We start from the raw sequence: 23,331 nt of genomic DNA, 5'->3' as shown, positions 1-23,331 counted from the left end.
GGTTGTTTGCCAAATTTTGTCCAGTGAATGCAGTGGTAGAATCAAGTTTCCAATCTAGGCAGTGTGGCTCTACTGAATACACACATACCTGCCATGCTATTCTCCCTCAGTATTAGAAATGGAAGCCCCTCTTCTCAAATGCAAAGTCCTTCAGGAAGCCTGTATGGACTTTAAACATGACTGATGTGATTTCACATTTTTTAAATCCTCAAATACTATTTTTGTATCTTTCTAAAAAGTTATGTTTTCTTTAAAATGATTGTATTAGTCTGTTCTCACGCTGCTAATGAAGACACACCTGAGACTTATAATTTATAAAGGAAGGAAGTTTAAATGACTTGCAGTTCCACATGGCTGGGGAGGCCTCACAATCATGGCAGAAGATGAAGGAAGAGCAAAGGGACATCTTACATGGCAGCAGGCAAGAGAGAGAGCTTGTGCAGAGAACTCCCATTTACAAAGCCATCAGATCTTGTGAAACTTATTCACTACTACCAGAGAACAGCATAGGGGAAACTGCCCCCATGATTCAATTATCTCCACCTGGCCCTGCCCTTGACACATGGGGATTATTACAATTCAAGGTGAGATTTGGTTGGGGACATAGCCAAGCCATATCCATAATTAAAATATGAATGATGATAACAGTGAGAAAATAAGTGTATTTTATTGTAGGATGCTTGTGACAGACATTTGTTCTACAAGTATTAATTCATTTAATTCTCACAACACTATGGAGTAAGTAGTATGATATGGTTTGGCTCTGTGTCCCCACCCAAATCTCACTTTGAATTGTAACTCTCATAATCTCCATGTGTCAAGGGCAGAACCTGGTGGGAGGTAATGGAATCATGGGGGGAGTTTCCCCCATGCTGTTCTCATGATGGTGAGTGAGTTCTCATGAGATCTGATGGTTTTGTAAGTGTTTGACATTTCCCCTACTTGCATTCATTCTCCATCCTGCCACCCTGTGATGAGGTGATTTCCACCATGATAAGTTTTCCGAGTCCTCCCCAGCCATGCGGAACTGTGAGTCTGTGAGTCAATTAAACCTCTTTTCTTTATAAATTATGCAGTCTCAGGTATTTCCTCCTTCTTCTTCTTCTTTTTTTTTTTTTTTTTTTTTTTTTTTCCGTAGTCTCGCTCTGTCGGCCAGGCTGGAGTGCAGTGGCACTATCTTGGCTCACTGCAACCCCTGCCTCCCCGGTTCACACGATTCACCTGCCTCAGCCTATCAAGTAGCTGAGACTAGAGGCGTGCGCCACCACGCCCGGCTAATTTTTTGTATTTTTAGTAGAGACGGGATTTCACTGTGTTAGCCAGGATGGTTTCGATCTCCTGACCCCATGATCTGCCTGCTTTGGCCTCCCAAAGTGCTGTGATGACAGGCGTGAGCCACTGGTATTTCTTCATAGCAATATGAAAATGGACTAGTACCTAGTATTGCTATGTATTAGTATCATTTTACATACAATTAAACTTAAGGTCACATAACTGGTTAGTTGCAGAGCAATTATATCAACCCAGGCAGTCTGGTCTTAGATCATGTGTATTTTACTTTCTTATGCTTATTGCTGATTTTACTGTGCAGAGAGATTGTGTTATATTGAGTCTCTGTTGCACTTTCATAAACTAGTATCCTAACATTTTAATTTTAGTGATAATTATAGTTCATTTTGTTTCACAAATCATGTAAATGTAACTTGGAAAAACATACAATAAAGAGCAATTTTCATGAATAAATATTTGTTGAGTTAAATCTGTAATGATACAGTTAGAGTTAACCAAAAGAGAACTAATGATTATGACATGGGATTAGAATTATCAACTGGATTTAGGTTTACAATCTATGTGTTCTCCTCCATACATTGTGTCCAAATCACTTGATTTTTTCGAGGTAAACTAAAATTTCGAAAACTGTGATTGTAATCAAACTTGTTATTATCAAATAAGAACTCTTTCCTAAAGTCAACAAGAAAGAATGAAATTCAGCTAAATACATATTGGACTAATATGAGGTAATTCACCAATATTGATGGCCAGTATATATTTAACACACCAGTGAGTCAAACATTTCTATATACCTCATCATTTCATCTTAACAATAATTTTACATGAAAATCACAATGATACTCATTTTACTAAAGAAAGAAGGAAGGCACAGAGAGATTAGACAACCTGCACTAGTGTAACACAGCAAGTAATTTGGAGAAATTTCATGTGATTTCAAATCTCCTGCTCTCTCACTACATCATGACAATCCCACATTGTATAATAATTGCAATTCAACAATTGTACATAGTTTATATTTTTACTGTGAAATAAACCCATGTGCAGAAAAAAAAAATAATTTATTTCTCAAGTACACTAAAACTTCCCTTCTGTGAACAAAATGACCTAACAAAGATACCTTAAACTGTTCGTTTATTTTGCAAATGAAATTGTATTTCACTTTTACTTTTTATAAATAATTTTACATTTCCAACTACATGCATTCAATAATATTATTAGTTGATGCTAGCAATATAAAGTATATGATTAGGCTAGCATAGGAAACAACTACTTAGATTTTTTTAATAAACTTTTAGAAATTCTTTGGAGGAATTCCTGCTGAAACTTAACTTTTTCATTGTACTGGAAGAAACATATTATTTTAACTATATCCTAACAGAGTAAGCAAAAAGCCTATACATAGATTATTAATTTAAGATGGACAAAAAAGGTAATAAATTATAATACCCAGAGACAAAAAATTATTTTCTTATGGAAGGAAGGAGATTATAATATATATACCCTGTAAGGTATTATTAAGACTAACCATATTAAATTTATTACCAAATTATCTTGATGTGTGGTCAAGGGAATCAGTGCTTCCATTATCATAATCATAGTGTGGGCCCAGAAAATAAGAAACAGAAGTGTGACAGTGTCAGATATGGTAACAGAGAAGTGATTCAACTGAAGTCCTTGCTATCAGTTGGGCTCCTACTTTGGGTTTAGCAAAAAGAAATCATTTACTTTCTTGTCTTTGGCAGTGTAGTGAATTAATTCTCTGAACCACTTCTTAGAATGGTGATTTTTAAATGCGTAATATAAAATATATAGTGTTAACAAGGAAAATCCATTATATTGTGAAAATTATAAAAATATTGAAAAACACAAATTTGTGATTTAGCAATACATGTGCTTTTCATTTAAATCGTTAAATAAGAGGATCTAGTGAAAGACCTGTTAATAACACAACTTTTTAAAAGTTATGAGTATAAATGAGATTTTAAGATTTACAAAAGAAGTATATTGTGATATGAAAATATCTGCAATATATTTTGGTGATAATGTCACAGATATTGCTAATACCACTGTGGTTTGTTATCTATTTTTATAAATGAAGGAAATGCCAATCTTTAGTTAAATGTTATTTAAGAAAATTTCCAATGCAAGTTCATCTAGCAGGTGAATTTTACATGGAATTCTTGGTGGTCTGTGAATCTCCTGGCTAATAAGCCTTGGGATTCTTAGTAACTTTTACTGATGAAGTTAAGGAAATTATTATGCCACTGAAGTAAATCCTGGATATAATCTACCTCTTTACCCCCTTCCCCCTTCCTGTTTGGTGCACCAGACTTACTCAACAAAAATGCATTTGCATTTTTTACAAAAATTGCCCTTTCTTAGAGCCTAGCACCAATGAGCTGAGCACTCTGGTCTATTGACTCTTCCAGCTTTCCTTTTCCCTCTAAATATTCCTGATCACATTGATGCAAAGGCCACAGAACCTCCTAATTAAGATCTGAATCTTTTCAATCAGGTCGAATAATTTTCTAATATTGTCACTGGTTATCCAAATTCATTGAGCTTTCTCTCCCTCCATTTTCTTACCTGTACAGTGAATTTAAAATAACAAACTCACTGAAATGTTTTAAGTATTAAAATAACCAATAGGTATTAGGCATTTTGAACAGTCCTTGAATTATAATAAATGTCCAGTAATAGTAGCTGCTGTTATTCTTACCTCTGCGCCTTGGTGCCTGATACATGACAAATTGCTAAACTAATCAACATCTATGTAGTATATTAGGAGACAATAAGTCCCTTGAAATTAAGGTTACTGTTTCATTGGCCTTGTTTATTTGCATTATCTGGTGACTTTATATCATTTGTGATAGCCATTTACATAAATACATTGAGCAATGCATTCCCAAGATGATACCTAAATGTATAATCTGGGTATGATGGGATTGCATATTATCACCCAAGTCACAAGATAAGAGTGGCTGTTGAAAAATATTATTGAGCAATATAAGTGTACAGGAAAGGCTTTTTATGCCCACTGATCCATCAGCTCTGTTCTATCAATCTCATTGAGTATAAAACCAAGAAATCGGCCGGGCGCGATGGCTCACGCCTGTAATCCCAGCACTTTGGGAGGCCGAGGCGGGCAGATCACGAGGTCAGGAGATCGAGACCATCCCGGCTAAAACGGTGAAACCCCGTCTCTACTAAAAATACAAAAAATTAGCCGGGCGTAGTGGCGGGCGCCTGTAGTCCCAGCTACTTGGGAGGCTGAGGCAGGAGAATGGCGTGAACCCGGGAGGCGGAGCTTGCAGTGAGCCGAGATCCCGCCACTGCACTCCATCCTGGGCGACAGAGCGAGACTCCGTCTCAAAAAAAAAAAAAAAAAAAAAAACCAAGAAATCATTTATTCACACAAGTTGCAAATACAGAACGTTTAATGGTTTCCTTATTTAAACTGTGTTTCAAAATTATCATCACAAATCATCACTATTAACAGTTGGTGATTATCAATTTGGTATTAACATGTAATAGCTAAAGAAATCATGGTACTAAATATAAAAATGTATATTTTTATTTTTAAGTGCATGTTTTTCTTTTATTTTAAATGTTAAAAAAGAGCAATATTGTACTAACTGCCTAAGAATTTGTTATTGTTTATTCATTTTAATGGATAAAAAATGGAGGCCTGGATATGACCTAAAAACATTTTATGGACAACTCTTTTTGTTTGTTTCTTTTGCTTATTTTATTATTCATGCTATTTTTATGGCATAACAATACACCAGTTGTCTCTAGATAAATTGAATTTTAAGAAACAAATATACCTTAAATCATATTTTTTTCAAAGCTTACCCAGAAATCAGATATTTTTAATACTGTTTTGCATTTTCAAGACTTCCTAAAGTAGTTTCATTTTCATGGAGTTTTTCCTAAGAAATGCTGTCCACCAGAGAACAGTTATTTCAGTTAAATAATTTATTGGCAACTCAACAACCACAATAGCTGATGAAATATGTTGAGACAAGGAATAGTCAAGTATGGTGAATGTGAAATAAACCACAAATTTTAGAATAAGAAAAGCAGATGCCTGGAAAAATGAAGAATAATATCAATAAAATCATGTTATATTTGTTTTTAATATTTTAAGCTGAGAAATAGTGATATTTAGGTAAGAAAAGATTTTGTAAAAATATAAGTTAAAATATAAAAAGAAGGAAGCTATCTTATGATAAAGCTCTATTCCACACACATATAAAAAGCCTTAGACTTACTTCAACACCTAGATAGGGTGATGGACAGAAATAAATGAATTTTGATAGAGTATGCTGTCACTGATACATAGCATCATGTGTGACTATCATATAGTCCATATTTTATTCTCTACACACAGTACTTTTATCTGTAGAAAATCAGAGAGTGAAACAGAAAATAAAATGTAGGAGAAAAAGTAAAGGAGTGTTCTCAGTTTTACTGTACTAACAATCACCATTAGTGACCCAGTTTTGTTTTATATTTTTCCCTTCCAAGGAAAGAATCTGTATACTCCCATAAGTTTTGTATAAAAGTCCCTCAAGGCTACATTGTGACTATGCTTCTTTGGGACAAATTTAGCCTGAGGGATAGAAAGAGTTTTTAGGGTCCATAAGCCAAATCTCACGTTAATATGGAGAAGTGCCCTATTATGATGATGGGTACCAGCTAATAGTATAATTTCCTAATGTGCGAAAAAAAAAATGTTTTTGCTGTTATCACAAGCTTTGTGCTGGGCGTACTGGTTTATTTGGAGCCTGCTACTTGTGAAAGCTTCACCTTTTCCATTTTTAGAAAATGTGAAGCAGCAAAAAGGTTTTTGACAAACCGCAGATCCTGCAGTTTAATCGGCTTGATTGTGGGCGCCCCGCAACCTCTCCTTGTCCTTTATTTTCTTGGACCACTAACAGTTTTGGAAAAAAAAATCTGCTTCTGGATTATAGCTTTAAAATAAAGTAATAGAATGTGATTATGGAAGATAAAAAAATCCACTTTATAAAAATATCATCAAGTAACAGGAGAGAAGATTCACAGGAGCTCTTAAATGGTAAATCTCTCTTTCTCTTTCTATCTCTATCTACTCTCTTAATGCTTCCAAGCATAATTTTAATATATAGACTTATAGCACCTCTTTTATCTTGTTAATGGTGGACTTCATAGGGTGGTAATATACTATGTATGATCCAAAAACTAAGGAGTTTTTTGTATATTTGTAAGTGAATTTTTACTTTGTGTACATTTGTTCTGTGCATTGTGAAATAACTCTTTTTTTTTCATTTTAAGGATTTTAAAGTATCGTTACTTGAAAATATTAACTAATTTATTTCCAAGTAACTCTTTATATTGGTGCTTACTTTGGATTTAATTTGGTTACAATAATTATACTGCAACTTAAAAATTATACATAATAAATTAACCAGTGGTCTTTCTAATTTGAGAAATTTTATCACAGTTAACTTCTCTCAAATTAAAATGAAAAAAGACGATAAATGAAGTTTAGTTTGAAAACAGGGAGCACTTTTTTTTTTTTTTTTTTTTTTTTTTTTTTGAGATAGAGTCTTCCTATATTGTGCAGGCAGGCCTTCAAGTGAACTTCTGGGCACCAGAAATCCTCCTGCCTCAACTTCGTGAGTAGCTGGGACTACAGATGTGCACCACTGCTCCCATTCTTTTTCTAAATAACAAAAGAGAAAAGAAAATAAAATTAGAGGAAGAAAGACAGAATTTTAAAAAGAAAAAATATATATTAGTAATACAAAAAGTACATAAAATCATAAAATGTGAAAAAGAGTAATCCCTACAATTGTATCCAATACATATATTTAGATTAATAATCAGATTATCGAGTGAATTTGTAGTTAAAATTAAATAGCATCAAAACATCTTAATATAAAACCTAGTTATCACAGTAATCTATTTGAATGTAATTGAAATAAGTTTTTGCATAAAATTTTATGAAGAATTTTTTTGCTGCCCCTCCTCAGAAATTCTTAACCATATGTCTACTGAAACATTTGCTAGATTTAGTTATTTAGGACAAGAATATGTAGTTTATTGCATTTATCAGTTTCATCTTTTTTTTAAGAGAGGATGAAATCTGAGAAAGATTTAAGTCACCAAAGATTTCTTACATAATTAGTTTAGAAAGAGATAAACTATTTGAAGTCTGTTTTTAACCAGAGACCATCTAGATGATTTTTTATTTGTTTCTATACAATGATTATATGACTTAATAATCATACCTGCTATTTTAAAAATAGAGCTCAAAATCCTGCGTATTGTTATTGTGTCGATCATCCAAGAAGAAATACAAAATGTGTAGACTCTTATATATTGTGGTCTTTCCTTCATGGGGTTTGTGCCTGCAGTTGTAGTGTCATTAATGAAACTAAGATTTTCAAGAGTTAAAAAAATCTGGAGGAGAATATTTCATGTCCTCTCCAGCCTAATCGTCTGCTATTTCGTATCATACCTGTTCAGTGATCTGACAAATTTACTGATTACATTTATAATCTTTAAATTTCTACTTGATACAATGTTTAATCTTTTGGAGTTTGATATTGGTAAGGTTAATTACCCTTCTGGAAATGATTGACTTGTTGATCTCATTCCACCAGCTAGAACAGTGAGTAGAAAATTATTCGTAGCAAACCAAAAGCTTCTCCAGATAATATTTTCAGTTAATGTGTTATTTATTCTTCATGATTTTATAGTACTATGTTGGATTTATTATGAGATTAAAACAAATCAAATTACTTTCCTCATTAGTTTTTCATTGTTTTCCTCCCATTTATATTTAAAGAAAACCAGCTTTTACTTGAAAAAATGACTTTCTAATCGAGTCTTAGCTGGCAATTTCCTCAAATTCTTGCTGTATTAAGGCAGACACAGTATAAAATCAATCTTGTCTAAAACAAGCATTGCTTGATTGAGCAAAAGTGACTATTGTCTCTGATATGCTATCTTCTATATGCCTTTTGCATCTGTGCACTTTCTATTGCATAGTTCAGTGAGTCTAGAATAAGTCGTACTATGGTAACAAATGATCTCAACATCTATCTATATAGCTTATTACAACAAAGTTTATATATTGCACACATTATATGTCTATCATGGACAGCTTTGGCTCTGCACCATCATTCTAAAATGAAGAACCAACCCCAATCTGAGACATACTAGTCTTATGGCAGAAAGAAAAGAGCAAGAGCAGAACAATGAGCTGGATCTTAAAGCTTCTGCTCAGATGTGGCACAGGTTACTTGCAGTCATGTCCCATTACACTACATGTCATATGACTAAGTATAAAATCAGTGGTGTGGCAAGTGTAATCCTATTGCACGGATGTCTGTTTGTAATGTTTATGTCTCTGATATTACCAAAGAACTAAATCATTGATTATGACAATCTCTGCCTTAATTAAAATGTTATGTCTTTATCTAATTGCAAAACTAGATAGACTCACTGACTGAATTCTGAGAGGATTTTATAGACATCAGACTATTAAAATGTCTAGGATATAGACCAATTTTAGAATGAATTTGAGAAGCTATCATACACACATAGAAAGGGTAAAAATGTTGAGTATTATATTTGTAAAATGATAATCCATTTTCACTCACCATAAGTCACATTTGGGCATACACTTCAAGACCTTGCTATCATAAACTCATTCAATGAGCACAGTTTTATCTATTACTTTAAGTGTAAAACTGTATATGGTGCCATCCAACTGAAGAAGAAAAAAATACCAGTTTCTTATCAGATAATGTAAAGAATGAAAGCCTATTGTTAAAATGATTAAGACCACAGAGGAGGAAACTAAGTAATTAACTTGATTTATTCCCAAAGAACTATGAGTCAATATTTTTGTTTTCACAGAATTACAAAACAAATAGCTTACGTGAGAGGGCTTATAGAAGTACAATTTTACTCTTCCTATGATTTTAGCTGTTTTACTTTCAAAATTGGATTCTGTCGCTTAGGATGACAACAGAACTTCAGAAAAAAATAAGTATTTAAAATCATCAAGCTGATATTCTCAAAAAGTAATGACAAATACCAATGCATGATGTAATTAGAGTCAAGTGTATAGTGTGATTAAAGAGAAATATTTCATACATAATATTTCAAAGAGAAGAATAATAAAACTATACTGCAAATAATTTTAGAATAGGAGACAGTGCAAACATTAGGAAGGTTCCAAAATAGTGATTGTATCAAGGTTCATAACTGTAGCCAAGAAAGACTCTCTTATCAGGAGTCACGTATAGTTTATATATATATATATATATATATATATATATATATATATATATATATATACACACACACATATACATATATATATATGTATTATATACACACGTATATAATACATATATATACATCTTCCCAGCCTCTCATGAGAGAAAAATGGAAGGCGAGATGGATGGAGAGAAGAGAAAGAGAGGGAAATATTTTAAATTTGGAACTTTTCTAGCAATATCAATGACAGCTTTAAGTCTTTCCAATAATTTCACTATGTTATTTTAAAAGAAAATGACCAGTGTAAGTTGCAGTTCTAACTGCTAGTAAATCATGGCTTAATGAAAACAATTATATTATATAGTATATATATTATACATATATATACACTTATATATGTGTATGTATACCTACATATATAATATACATACACATCTATATACACATGTATAATGTATATTATATACAATATGTAACATATATGTGTGTACGTGTGTGTGTGTGTGTGTGTGTATATATATATATATATATATATATATATATATATATATATATATATATAAAACAACACCAAAATATCCTCTGAAAGAAATAGGGACTCCAGAAACGTTGGTAGTACTGAACACTTGGGCACTTGGGTGATTTAGATTCAAAGGTTGCCTAATTAAAATGATTTAATTAGGCCTAATTAAAATGATAGCAAAGCATATACAAATCAACTAATAAGGATTCTCCAAAGAGTGTTTGTGTACACGCGTGTGTGTACAAGCACACAAATGTGTACATATGCATATATGTTGTGAATATGTATTTTGTATTTAATACTGTATGTTTCATAAGGTATATATACATGTAAATAATGTGTATATATTATAAAATACATATATATGAAAGTTTACAAGATCTTAATGTATGAATAAACTCAAACATTTAAGCTCCAGGTTATTTTAGTTGTATGATAGTTTATAGAATTTCTGTTTATTTTCTAAGGGAAATGTTGTTTCAGTGTAATTTTTTTAAAAGTCTTCAGGGATGATCTTTTACCACTGGGCCTTTCTTCATGACCTTTTCATGAACCAAAACTGTCCCAAGAAATTTGTCCAGGCTGATGTAGAGTCTGCTGAAAAAGGCACTAAGAACTTTATTTAAGGCAGCAATTTTCCTAAAGAATCTTAAATGAAGGACACATATGTTAATTTTCTATTTGTATATTCTTTATGATCTCACTGAAAAATAAAAATGATAAAATTTTGAGTTTCAGGTTTCTACTCTAGTGACCATCAACAAAAAATTAGGTTTGGAAGTTGCTTACTTAAAAGATAGATGCCATACACATTCATGGCCAATTACATTTATTTTCAGCCTGTGTTAGAGGCAGTATAAGACGAGATGATACAGAGGTATTGTAGGTCCTCTGATGTCCTAGGTGTCATTTCTTTGTTTTGGTGGCGTCACCCCATAATATTTTAAATACATGAAAATTTACCTTTGCCCAATATTAAGCATTATGGGTTTTCATATTTGCAAAATTGGAAAGCACTTTATAAACTTGTGTTTTCACTTCATTACAATTGTCTGTAATCTCAAAAAATAATTATTATGCATATTGGGAGATACTTGCAAAGGGAGAAAATCTTAACTATGAAAAGGTTTCAATTGCACAACTGATAAGTTTGAGAGGTAAATTAATAGACATTTAGTTAAAATTTCTTAGTTTTTAATTTGCATATCTTTTTTCATAGAAACTAAAACATTTTTCACAATTTAAATATTTTTCTGGTTGCTGGAAAAGTGTACTTGCCTTCCCTGAGCAATGTTCTATGGTGCCTAATGTATATATCAACCCCTGAAGGGTGTACTATAAATCTTTACCATTCATCTTTAGTCTTCTCTTCATAGACTTGGGAGCACAAAAAACCCTGTAATCTGGTTTAGATTATTACTTCTACATTTGCTAAGCATTCATTATATATGGCCATCATTATACTCATCACATACTACAGTGTACTAACTTATTTGTGTGACTCCCTCTGTAAAACAGAGGAAAGGAGATGGGAGCACATTCCTTCATTTACTCAAATACATACATTTATTCTAATAGAGACATTCACATAAAGTGTATATTTGTTAGATATTTTTGAATGTAACTCCCTGAAGGGCACTGTTCTATTCACTGAGGATATGGAAGCAACTAAAAAACAAGTCCCAGCTGGCCAGAAGGTTATATTTTGGTTGTATGTCTAATTTAATTTTGCACCTAAAACCTTGCCCAATATAGTATGTTTAACAAGTATTTTCAGATTATTAATAAAATATTGAAATTGCATGTTTAAAGATAAGATTGTTTGAAATTACTTAAATTTGCATGATTTTAGTGTACATTCAATATTCAGTGTAACAACTTCAAGCCATTAGAAATATATATATATATATAACATCTACTAATTCTAATAAAAATCACTTGGAAATCTGCATGTAAATGAAATTAAACCTTAATTGATTTGTTTTTAATTTATTTATATCTATTGCCCAAATTACCTCATCTTCCCACCCTCTCATGAGAGACAAATGGAAGGCGAGATGGATGGAGAGAAGAGAAAGTGAGGGAAATATTTTAAATTTGAAATGAAATTTTCTAGCAATATTAATAACAGCTTTAAATCTTTCCAATAATTTCACTATGTTATTTTAAAAGAAAATGACCAGTGTAAGTTGCAGTTCTAACTGCTAGTAAATCATGGCTTAATGAAAACAATTACAGCAGAAAGTATAATGTTTTATTTGTTCTTAGTACGGCCCCGTAAGAACTAGCAGACATCAGATTTGTCAAAGTCACAACTCCTTTAGAATTTCCAGGAGAACACCAGGATCAAAGAAAAGAAATAGATAAGATAAAGAATTATCATCTATTTGTAATAGGAGTTTCCCATTTAAGTTTTACTTGTTACTATCATTTTAGAACAAGTGAAAACTATGCTTGTTAGGAATCTTTACCTGACACTAATGGAACCTCTTTTGACAGATTTTTTTAAACAAAAATTATATGGTGTGAATAAAAAAAAAACAACTGTCAGGTTGGATCAGTTATTTTGTATCTGCCGGTACCTGCTTGGCTCACATAATTTCCCCAAAGATAGGTGAAAAACTCATTTGTACAAGCAGATTCTCTACATTATTAGAGAAGATGTATATTTTTTCTTGTCAGACATGTATATTCTAATTATCATTATACTACTGAATTCAACAATATTCTGTGCATTAGAGTGATATTTTCAACCAGCATGATGACTGCATTGAGTCAATGTGGAATAGAGATACCTGAAATAGTTAAAACCTCCATTGTATAATTAGGCTATTTTAATTATACTTAACGTAGCTTATGTATGTTTTCTACAATATTTTGATTTGATCAATGCACTTTTCAAAAATAGGAATTGTATTTTATAGATCTTGCCAATGTTTGTAGTTTATTGTCTTATCATTTAAATTTGGTTTATAGTTATAAGCATATTTTATTTTACATCTTCATATTTCTCTCATCACCCTTCTCTCACTCATTGCTTGCTGACTTTATTGCTGTTTCTGGAATAGTCAATGCATGATCTTGCCTCAGGGTCTTTGTATTTATTGCTCTGTCGATTTAGAAAACACTTCATCAAAATATTAGCATAGTCTTCCTTCAGGTCTCAGATAAAATATTACCAATACAGAAGACTGCCTTGACCATCCCAAGCAAACGAATACTAGGATTCCTTCTATCCTATTATTTCATAACACTGTGTATGTCAGAAAGAAGCCCACACGTGGTATATGTTCTACAGACCAATGCTGATTAGGGTCAAGGGAGAAAGGCTGACCCATTGCTAGCCCAGAAGGGTCCATCAGTAGAAGTCAAGAGGACTTTACACACCCTTTGCTGGGTCAGAGAGGTCCATCATCAAGAGTTAAGTGGACACCTGAACAATCTGAACACTCCTGACATGACTTTACAACCATCTCTCTGCTCCCACTGACCTTCATAGCCTCATCACTATTGTCTGCTTAGGAAAAATTAGGACTTAACTCATCATGTTCATTTTCTCATTTTATGTCAGTCACCAGAAGGAACTCAGAACTTCCAAGTCATTCCTGATCCCTAAGACTCTAATCCTCATCCTTTAATTTTCTCTGTCTCTGGATACTCTTTCACTATCCTCTCCGGAACTCAACAACAAAGCCCTTTTATCTTTCACTTTTGTATATTTCCCCCTTATCACCACCCCAAATGAAGCCTGATGACTCTGCATCACACACCGGCTTTTAAAAGGTGGATATTTTGGCCGGGCGTGGTAGCTCACGCCTGTAATCCCAGCACTTTTGAAGGCCGAGGCAGGCGGATCACCTGAGGTTAGGAGTTCAAGACCAGCATGGCCAACATGATGAAACCCCGTCTATACTAAAAATACAAAAGTTAGCCGGGTGTGGTGGCAGGCACCTGTAATCCCAGCTACTTGGGAGACTGAGGCAGGAGAATTGCTTGAACCCGGGAGGCGGAGATTGCAGTGAGCTGAGACGGCGCCATTGCACTCCAGCCTGGGTGACAAGGGTGAAACTCCATCTCAAAAAAAAAAGAAAAAAAAAGTGATATTTCTCTCATACTCCACTTAAGTCACTGAGAATGGGATTGGGATAATGTTCTTTGCTCCTCAGTGCCGCTTCCTGATCAATACCATTTCTCCTCCCTAAAATCTCCTAGCTATGTTCTCCAGACATCAGTAGATATTCTCTGCTACTCTGCTACTACCCCTTAGAGAAGTCTTCCACCAACCTCTGGCCCCTTCCCGACTTCTGTTAAGATTTTAGCTGTAGCTCACTGTCACTCTCTTCAACTCCATTCTTGTCATATATTATGGCAATTCCAATATCCACCCAGATGAGTCTTCAAAAATTCTAGTTTCTCAGTTGATTGACTCCTCTCCCACAAAGAACTTGTTTTCCATCTAATCACTAACTTCAGATAATTTCACCATCTCATGATGCATGTATCCAAGGGATGTTTGGTATGGTATTGACATTTGAGTTTTAAATGCTTGTATATACATTTGGGGTACCATTTTCTGATAACTTACCTATATACCTAGCATAAATTCTTTGCTTAAAATAATTCACTAAATTTTATCTAATCCTATCACACAGTAAGGGATCCAATAAATGTCTGCCGAAAAATGCATATAGGACAATATATTCTATTTTTTAAATATATGGTAATATAGAAATATTCTATAGTTCCCAAAATAGTACAGTAAGAAAAAACAAAGATTGGAAAGAAATACTACTTTAGAACCTGTATCTTTTTTTCTTTACTTTAATAAGATTAAAATGTTTAATAAGGTTAATAACTTAGCTAATGAATCTCCATTGCATACTTTTTTTGTTTTCACCAAATTTTACTTTTTTTTCAAATATATTAAATCCTCGGCCCAGCTTTGAATTGTCTTTATTTTCTTTTCTAAGTTATTTACATTATTTATTCAACTATGAAATGTGTACAATTAATGTTACAAAGCATCTATTTTAGTATAATGAAATTTTCCAAAGCACATTTTAAATTTCATGTTTGAAAAATTCTGTTGTTTAAAATTTCTATTTACTTTAAATATTTGGTATATTTCCTTTATCCAGAAAAAAAGGAAAAGCTTTTGTTAAAGTGAAATCCGGTTACTTACTAACAGTGTCATGAAATTACTGCTTAGCTGGGTTGTCAGTGTGAGCCTTTCATCACCAGTGGTGAAAAATATTAATGACATCATAGTATTATGGGCAAATCAATAGAGCATGTTAGTGTTTTACCTAATTCTCAAATAAATCAGTTATTCTTTAGTAGAGCCAGAGCCTAAATACTGAATTTTTTCAAACTCCATCAAATCCGATTAGTGATTACAAATTGTCATTTGTTTGGATAAGCCAGAATAAAATGTTTGCCAAATTCAGTACCTGCCTTCCATAATTCCTTTACCTTCATACATTACATTATCCCACACAAGATAGAGGGGTTGTTTGAAGAAATTTAAACTGACTTTTAATTAAGTGGAGCATATATTAATTGATTGGTAATTGTTTGATTTATATTAAATTTTAAGAATAAACTTGTTTATTTTTATAGGGTATTTAAAGTGCCCAGGTACTTACAATAACAAGTTGGACTGAACACATTGTATCTCAGGAATTAAGAATTTTTCCTAAAAGAAGGTAAGATAATTAAACTTATACACATTGGCATGTTAATAAGTTTTAGTGAAAATTTAGAGATACTACTGCACTTCTGTGGCATATAATTTATAAGATAATTTTTAAAAATTAAGAGCACTTTCTTTTTTTGTTTATATAGTCTTCTGTAGAATTATTTGGGTAGATGAGAGGGCTCCAACATTTGAAATAAAAATCAGTTTGTAGGAATTGCCATTTGAAATGTCAAGAGGTGGATTGCTACCATTTTGGTTTAAAAAAAAAAATCTCCAGACTTGGGAATTTCACTGGGTTTGTGAGGTTCCCCAGGAGCCACAGAGCAGAGATAGCTGGAATGTGAGCATATTGCTATCCACAAAAATATTTTGGCTAACCTGCTCCTTCTACATTTATTGGCCCACATATGGTTACTATCATCCAGAATCCACTCAAAGGCTGAGTGCCACACTCAGGGTGAAGTCAGTTTATAATGTGTTACACCATCTTAATTTTGACCTCACATGTGAGATTGAAATATCACCTGTAAAGTAAAATACAGTCAGGAAATCTGAATGTATACATACTGTATTACTTATTTTAATGCTTTTCAACCATAAAGGTTTCTCAGGATTCATTTCATTGTATAAAGTAGGAAGAAAATTTGGCAACATTAAGTTTACCATTCCATCACGGTTACATATGTTGCTATTAAAAGGAATGGCTACAATGAACAAAGAAATGAAAACATATTCTTGAAGATCTATATTGTATGGGACTGTTAAGAGAAAATAACACTGAATTTAAATATGCTTCTTTTTTTCTTATGGACCTTTGAGTAGAATAAAATTCATTTGTCAATTTTGTTTTGATTTTTATTTTAGTAAATCTGAAGAATTCACAATTTTATTGGGTTCCTTTTGATTTAACTGGATGATTATCCCCATTTAATGTGAACTGATACATTTTTCCTAGGTTATTCATATTAGTACCAATAAAAGTAAAAAATTTATGAAAAAATATATAATGCTACATGGAAATATCATTTACATACACAAAAAAAATTTATCACATCATATAAGGCAAAAATTTACTGATTTAAGAAGTATGTTGAAATTGTTAGAGTTCATATTGAATTGGTATGGATATTTGATTCTTTTATGGGAAATATACCTCATATCTTTAGAATTGGTAGAGCACTAAAAACCTCAAAAATGACTTGTAGTACCACTTCTCTAATACATACATGTACATTTATACATACATATATACACACATGTATATATAAATTAATACATGTATATATACATATATGAATTAATATATATGTGTATATATTCATTATTTGGCTAGAATAATTTTCAGACTTCCACAATACTAATTTCCTGGATGTTATTTTTCATGAGTGCATCATACACACAAAGACAAAACACTTGCTTACTTTTTCAGTAAATAATAAACCTCTCCTCCTTCAGTTACAATTGCTTCCCAGTTCACCAGTAAAGGAGGCAAGATTCATGAGACAAATTTCCTGGGTACTAATTAAAATCTGTTTCAAATGTATAAAGGCCAAAGTGATACATAGAGCTGGTGTCACTGTCATTGCCACCATTGTCTTTTAATGTTTATTTGGGATCTAGCCAGTACTTAAAAATTCATTTATAAAAACATCAAGAGCTCATATGGATGAGTCTTAAATCACTGAATGCAATTGACAATATACACATTGAATTGAAACAGGATAGTGGATAGAAGTCAACCAATGAAAACTCAAAATATTTAGCAAATATGACTAAAATCTGATGAAATTTTACTTCCAGATATTGCATCTAATTGAACTATTTGTGGAACTTAATTTATGATTCTAAGTTTTGGGTAACACACATATAAGCTAGGATACATAAATATCAATTGGTTGGAAAATATCTGGTCATCTCAAATTGGGGACTATCAGACCTTCATTTTATCTACTATTTTTGCTTTTTTTTTTTTTTTACTGGAAGTAACCTGAAAAAAGAATTGTTAACATATCAAGTGAGTTTTGAAATAGCTTATATAAATAATTATTTAAAAGCGTAGACAGTATATTTTTCTTGTCTAATTCTGTCAGTAAATAACTTATTTGCTTAAGCAATGCCTACATAGCAAGATCCATGATACATTTATTTCCTCTCCCAAATCTGAGAATAGTTCTGCCATTGTTGACTCTTCCCTCAACATGGCTCCATATATGTTTGATTCTAAACAAATTTTAGATTAAATATATACAAATGCCTTACTAGCAATCTCATAATAAAGATTTCAAGCATTTATTTAAAAAGTGGAAAGTAAATAAAATTCCACATTAGCTAAAAGTGAAATTGAAAATATGTGGATAACAAGGAAATAGATAAAAACCAGAATGCTAAGATCAACAGTAGTATATAATTTGCTATTTTAAGTTTAAATGCATTTATTTTTATATGGTCATTGAATAAGTTTGATCTGGTTTGTAGGGATATGATCGCTTGTGAAATTGCACTATAGACTCAGATAGCACTGGAATTCCAAGGTGTGTCACTATATTTGACTTTGAGAAAATTATTCTACCTAATTTCATTTTCTCATTGATACATTAGTGCCAGCAGTACTTAATTTTATTTGCTTAACTTATCTAAATATTTTGAAATACTTTATAAATTGAATTTTGAAATAGTTTTTCTTTTCTGTGGTTAGTTTTGAAAGTATATTCATCTTATTCGTAAAACCATTCTACTTTTTTAATGATTGAGTAAAGTCTTATTTTTCTTTTCAAGATTGTAAGCTTTTTGAAGTGAAAAATATTTTTCTTCTTTCTTTGAAAAGCATTCTTTATTTGGCAAGTAATTATTTATTATAACACTTCTCAAAAATTGTATTATTGAGTAATTGTGAAGGAGACCTTATGGACTTCAAAGCATCAGATATTTACTATTCAGCCCTTAAAACAAAAAAATTGCTGACCCCTGCTCTACATCCTAGCAAAACTTCATGTTATGAATCTATTTTGTAAATTAAAGCATTTCTGCCCATGTTTCTGGTTTTTAAACACCTTCATCCATGAGGAGCTTCTTTTGAATGCTTTATGAACCCCTATTTTTTTCTTCCTTATGCCTGCCTCCACACACCAGTTTAAAGGGACAGGCAATATTACTTCAGTGAGTGAGTGAAAGAAAGAATAAGAACCTTTGGTATGGAAATATGGCCAGTGAATTGAGTTAAAACAAAGCCATTAAGAGCATTTAAAATTCTCTAGAAAATGTTAGGATGGATACTCCCAAACTTACAATGGGGTTACATTCTGATAAACCCACACATAATTGAAAATATAGTAAGTCGAAAACGCATTTAATACAACTAACCTACCAAACATGGCAGCACAGCCTAAACTACATTAAGTATGCTCAGACACTTATATTAACCTAAAGTCAGACAAAATTATCTAACACAAAGCTATTTTATAATACAATGTTGAATATCTCATGTAATTTATTGAATATTGTACTGAAAATGACAAACAGAATGGTTGTATGGGTATTCCAAGTACAGTTTCTGTTGAATGTCTATCACTTCTGCATCATTGTGAAGTTGAAAAATTTCTAAATTGAACCAGTGCCAGGTCGGGGACTATCTGTATTTAACAAACTAATACCTTTTTTTTTTTCAAATGAAGACTAGTCAATATGTTCACCTATTATTTTAGCTGTTACTAATTGTTACTTAATTTTGATTTTCAGATAAGTTGTCTTAGCTTATACCATATTTATATCTCAGTCTGTTTTCTAACCACTTACAAGATGTTTGAAGGAACTAGAACATGTTTTCCCTGTTTAAAAATTCCTAGACATTTTTTTTAAAAAAAGAGATGGCTTGGGCATACTAAGAAAATTATGCTGCAATTGAGTTCACACTCAGTTTTAGTAACAAGCAACCTTAGTGACCCGGTCAAGTAGCAAGCTCTTACCTCACGGCCTTGACTCAAATGTTAGTGCCCACAGGGTCATAAAGAGTGCTTAGAGGCTTGGTTTTGCCCCGAAAGAGAATCTGGCATACATGCCTAACCTCCTCTGCACCCAGTGAGGGTGGGGATTGGAATGGCTGTGAGTAGGTGTGGAATGTCACCTACCTCTTTGAAAAACTTCATTGCATGTTTGCACAAGTCCAACTTCAAATTCAGATGGAGTAGTTATTTATCTATTTATTTTGCTGGCTAATTAGTTCTTCTTTCCTCAAACTGTTCTTTTCTTTTTCTTTTTCTTTGCTAATCTGTACTAAGTGTTTTTAGGTCTACAGAATTTCTGAGCCAGAAGGAACTTAGAAAAATCATCTCAGTGTTTACATTAAGAAATTGGGGCAAAGATGAATACAAATTACAGAAACCAAGATCCCCAAACACCAACTCTAATTCTACATTTGTTTCCCTTATGTAGTAAGATCTGGCTCCCAAGATATCCCTTTTACTAAACTTTCTTTTTCATTTGTTTTGGGACTCTTTTGATAGTTTCCATTATTTCCATTATTCATTATCATTGTCATAAGCAGCAATTTTTGTTTTCGTGAACAAAACAAATGTGTGACCCCCGTTCTACCAATAAAATCTGTCAATGAGTAAAATTAAAGGAGCAAGAAAGATTGAGTAATTTTTAAAATACACATCTAATATAGCACTTCAGAGAACTACTCTGTTTGGGGAAGGGGATTTTATGGCTGGCTAAATATTTGTTGATACATGTATGAAAGGCAAAACACTCTGCATAAAAAGTCCTTGAGGTATGTAAAAACGTTTTGGCGGAGTCCTCTCTACACATTTATTTTTCTTCATTAACTTTATTGAGGAATAATTTAGATGAAACAAACTTCATCTATTTTAATGGGCTCAGGTTTCTTGAGTTTTAATGAAGTGTATATCCTTTAAACCATTATCACAAGCAAAATCTAGAATATTTTTATCACACAGGAAAAATTATTCCTAACTCTTTCCTTTTTTGATACTATGCATTAATTTGTATTTCATATAAATAAGTATATAAATGTAAGTGTATACTTTTTCACTTAGCAAATAATTTATACATTTATCTATGACTTATGTGTATTAGTAGTTGATTTTTTTTATTACTGAATGGTAGTCCATTGAATGGATATTCTATATGGATATACTACATTTGGTTATTCATTCACTTGATGGATATATAGTTGTTTCCATCTTTTGTCCTTTGTGAATTGCTTTCCTATGAGTATTTGTATACAAGTCTTTGTATGAATATGTGTTTTCATTTAGTTTGAAAAAGACGTGGATTGGAAAATCAGGGAGATTTGGTAGGTGTATGTTTAACTTTGAAGAAATGACAGTTTTCCAAAACGGTTGTACCATTTGACATTCCCCTGAGCAGTTTGTGAGAGTTCCTGTCATTCCGCATCAGGGCTCTGCAAACTATAGTACTTAAGCCAAATTCAGGTTTATTTGTGAATAGAAGTATATGGGAACACAGGCACATTCGTTTATGAACAAGCTGCTTTCATATTACAAAGGCAGAATTGAGTAATTGTGAAAGAGACCTTATGGCCTTCAAAGCATCAGATATTTACTATTCAGCCCTTAAAACAAAAAAATTGCTGACCCCTACTCTACATCCTAGCAAAACTTCATGGCATGAATCTTTAATGTGTATGTGGTGCTATCCAAATAGGTCTTTAATTTGCATATGTCTGATAACTGATGATATTGAGCATATTTTAATTTGCCTATTTACCATCTACATGTCTTCTTTCCTTAAGTACCTATTCAAAACTTTTACTTATCTTTTTCATTGGCTTTCTGGCCTTATTATTGAATTATAGGAGCACTTTATGCATTCTGAAGACAAATTCTTTGATATATGCATGTGTGTGTGTGTTTTGTGAATATTTTCTACCATTCTGTGATTTTCTTTTTCAGCTTCTTTTGAAAAGCAAAAATTTTATTATTGATGAAGTACAATATGTTTTTCTTCTTATTTTTTTACTTGTGCTATTGAGTACTAGGAAGCCTTTGCTTACCCCAAGGTTAAAAAGTTTTCTCTGATGTTTTCTTCTAAGAGTTTTATTCTTGTAGTTTTCAAAGTTTATAATCTGTTTTTGATCCATTTAACTCCCCTCCCCTGCAGGAAAAACATCTCCTGAATTTTTATTGAATTTTTTAATCCATAAAATAATTAATGTTTCTCTGGATATCTTTTTACTATTAATTTCTAAATCTATGGTCAGAGAACATACTCTGATAGAAATAATTTAAATCTATTCAGAGTTGTTTTAAGGCCCAGAATGTGTCGAACTAAGTGACTGGTCCACTCACATTGTGTACTTTTCAGTTAATGACTATATCCTTTAAAAATATCAATTAGGTCAAGATGCTTCAAGGCATTATCTCGATGCACCAAGATTTCATTAATATTTTTGGTTCTTTTTTTTAAATAAAATCTCTTTTAATAACTATGCAATGTTCCTTCTCTTCCTTCAATTCAGTCAAGTATCTTTGTACTTTGTAATTATTTTTTAGACTTATAAATTGACTATTTTGTTATTATCTGCTTTTTATTTTGATATTTGATAATGTTTTTGCTTTTATGTCTATTTTAGCTGGCATTCATATAGTCATTCCAGCATTCTCATGCTTATTATTTGTGTCTTCATTTTAAGCCATATGTGTAGTACTGCTGTTGAACATTTAATATATTCTGATTTCTGTTTCTGTGTAACATGTAGCCCCTACCAAAATAAAAAGCTTTTAGAATTTTATTTTTATCACTGATATTTTCAAGTGTAATTATGTTATGCCTTTTGGGATTTGCTTTATTTTGTTTTCATTATACTACAGATTAAGTACATGCTTTCCACCTGAAAACTCATTCCCTTCAGTTGTGGGAAATTTTCTGTGTATTTATATCAAGATGTGTATATGTGTATGAAATGTATATATATGAAATATATGCATATATATTCTTCCTTCTAGTCTGTTAGTCCTAAAAATATGATATTTGACTTCTTTAATTGATCCACTAATTTTGTTTTTTTTTCTATTTTATTTTCTCCTTTATGAAAAATTTTCTTGACTTTATCTTCCAACACTTTTACTAAAGTTCTTATTTCAGTTATCATAGTTTTAATTCCTAAGTTTCTTTTTCTTTCTTTTTTTTTTTTTTTTTTTGTGACTGAGTCTCACTCTTGTCACCCAGGCTGGAGTGCAATGTCATGATCTCGGCTCACCACAACCTCCGCCTCCCTGGTTCAAGCAATTCTCCTGCCTCAGCCTGCCAAGCAGCTGGGATTACAGGCATCTGCCGCCATGCCTGGTTAATTTTTTTGTATTTTTAGTAGAGACGAGGTTTCACCACGTTGGCCAGGCTGGTCTCAAACTCCTGACCTCAGGTGATCTAGTCTTATTCATTTGTTTGCTTGTTTGTTTTTAATAGATTAAATGTATTTTCTTACTGCTAGAGAATGTCATTTATAGTTTGGATTTGACATGGTCTTCACGTTCCTCATTATTTCCTCCAAGTTCTCTTT

At 32.2% G+C, this 23,331-nt stretch overlaps 1 protein-coding gene across 2 annotated transcripts in view; it reads left to right on the top strand.

Moving 5' to 3' along the window:
- Positions 1-23,331, top strand: part of SEMA3A (semaphorin 3A) — a 536,949-nt gene that overhangs the window by 169,721 nt on the left and 343,897 nt on the right. For both annotated transcript variants that reach the window (XM_005250110.4, XM_047419751.1), the window contains exon 3: positions 15,713-15,798. The gene's annotated coding sequence lies outside the window, so the exon portion shown is untranslated. The remainder of the gene's footprint in view (positions 1-15,712; positions 15,799-23,331) is intronic.

The sequence above is a fragment of the Homo sapiens genome, chromosome 7 (genome assembly GCF_000001405.40).
Source record: "Homo sapiens chromosome 7, GRCh38.p14 Primary Assembly".
NCBI lineage: Eukaryota > Metazoa > Chordata > Mammalia > Primates > Hominidae > Homo > Homo sapiens.
Note: the sequence above shows the minus strand (reverse complement) of the source record. Positions and strands in the feature narration are given on the sequence as shown.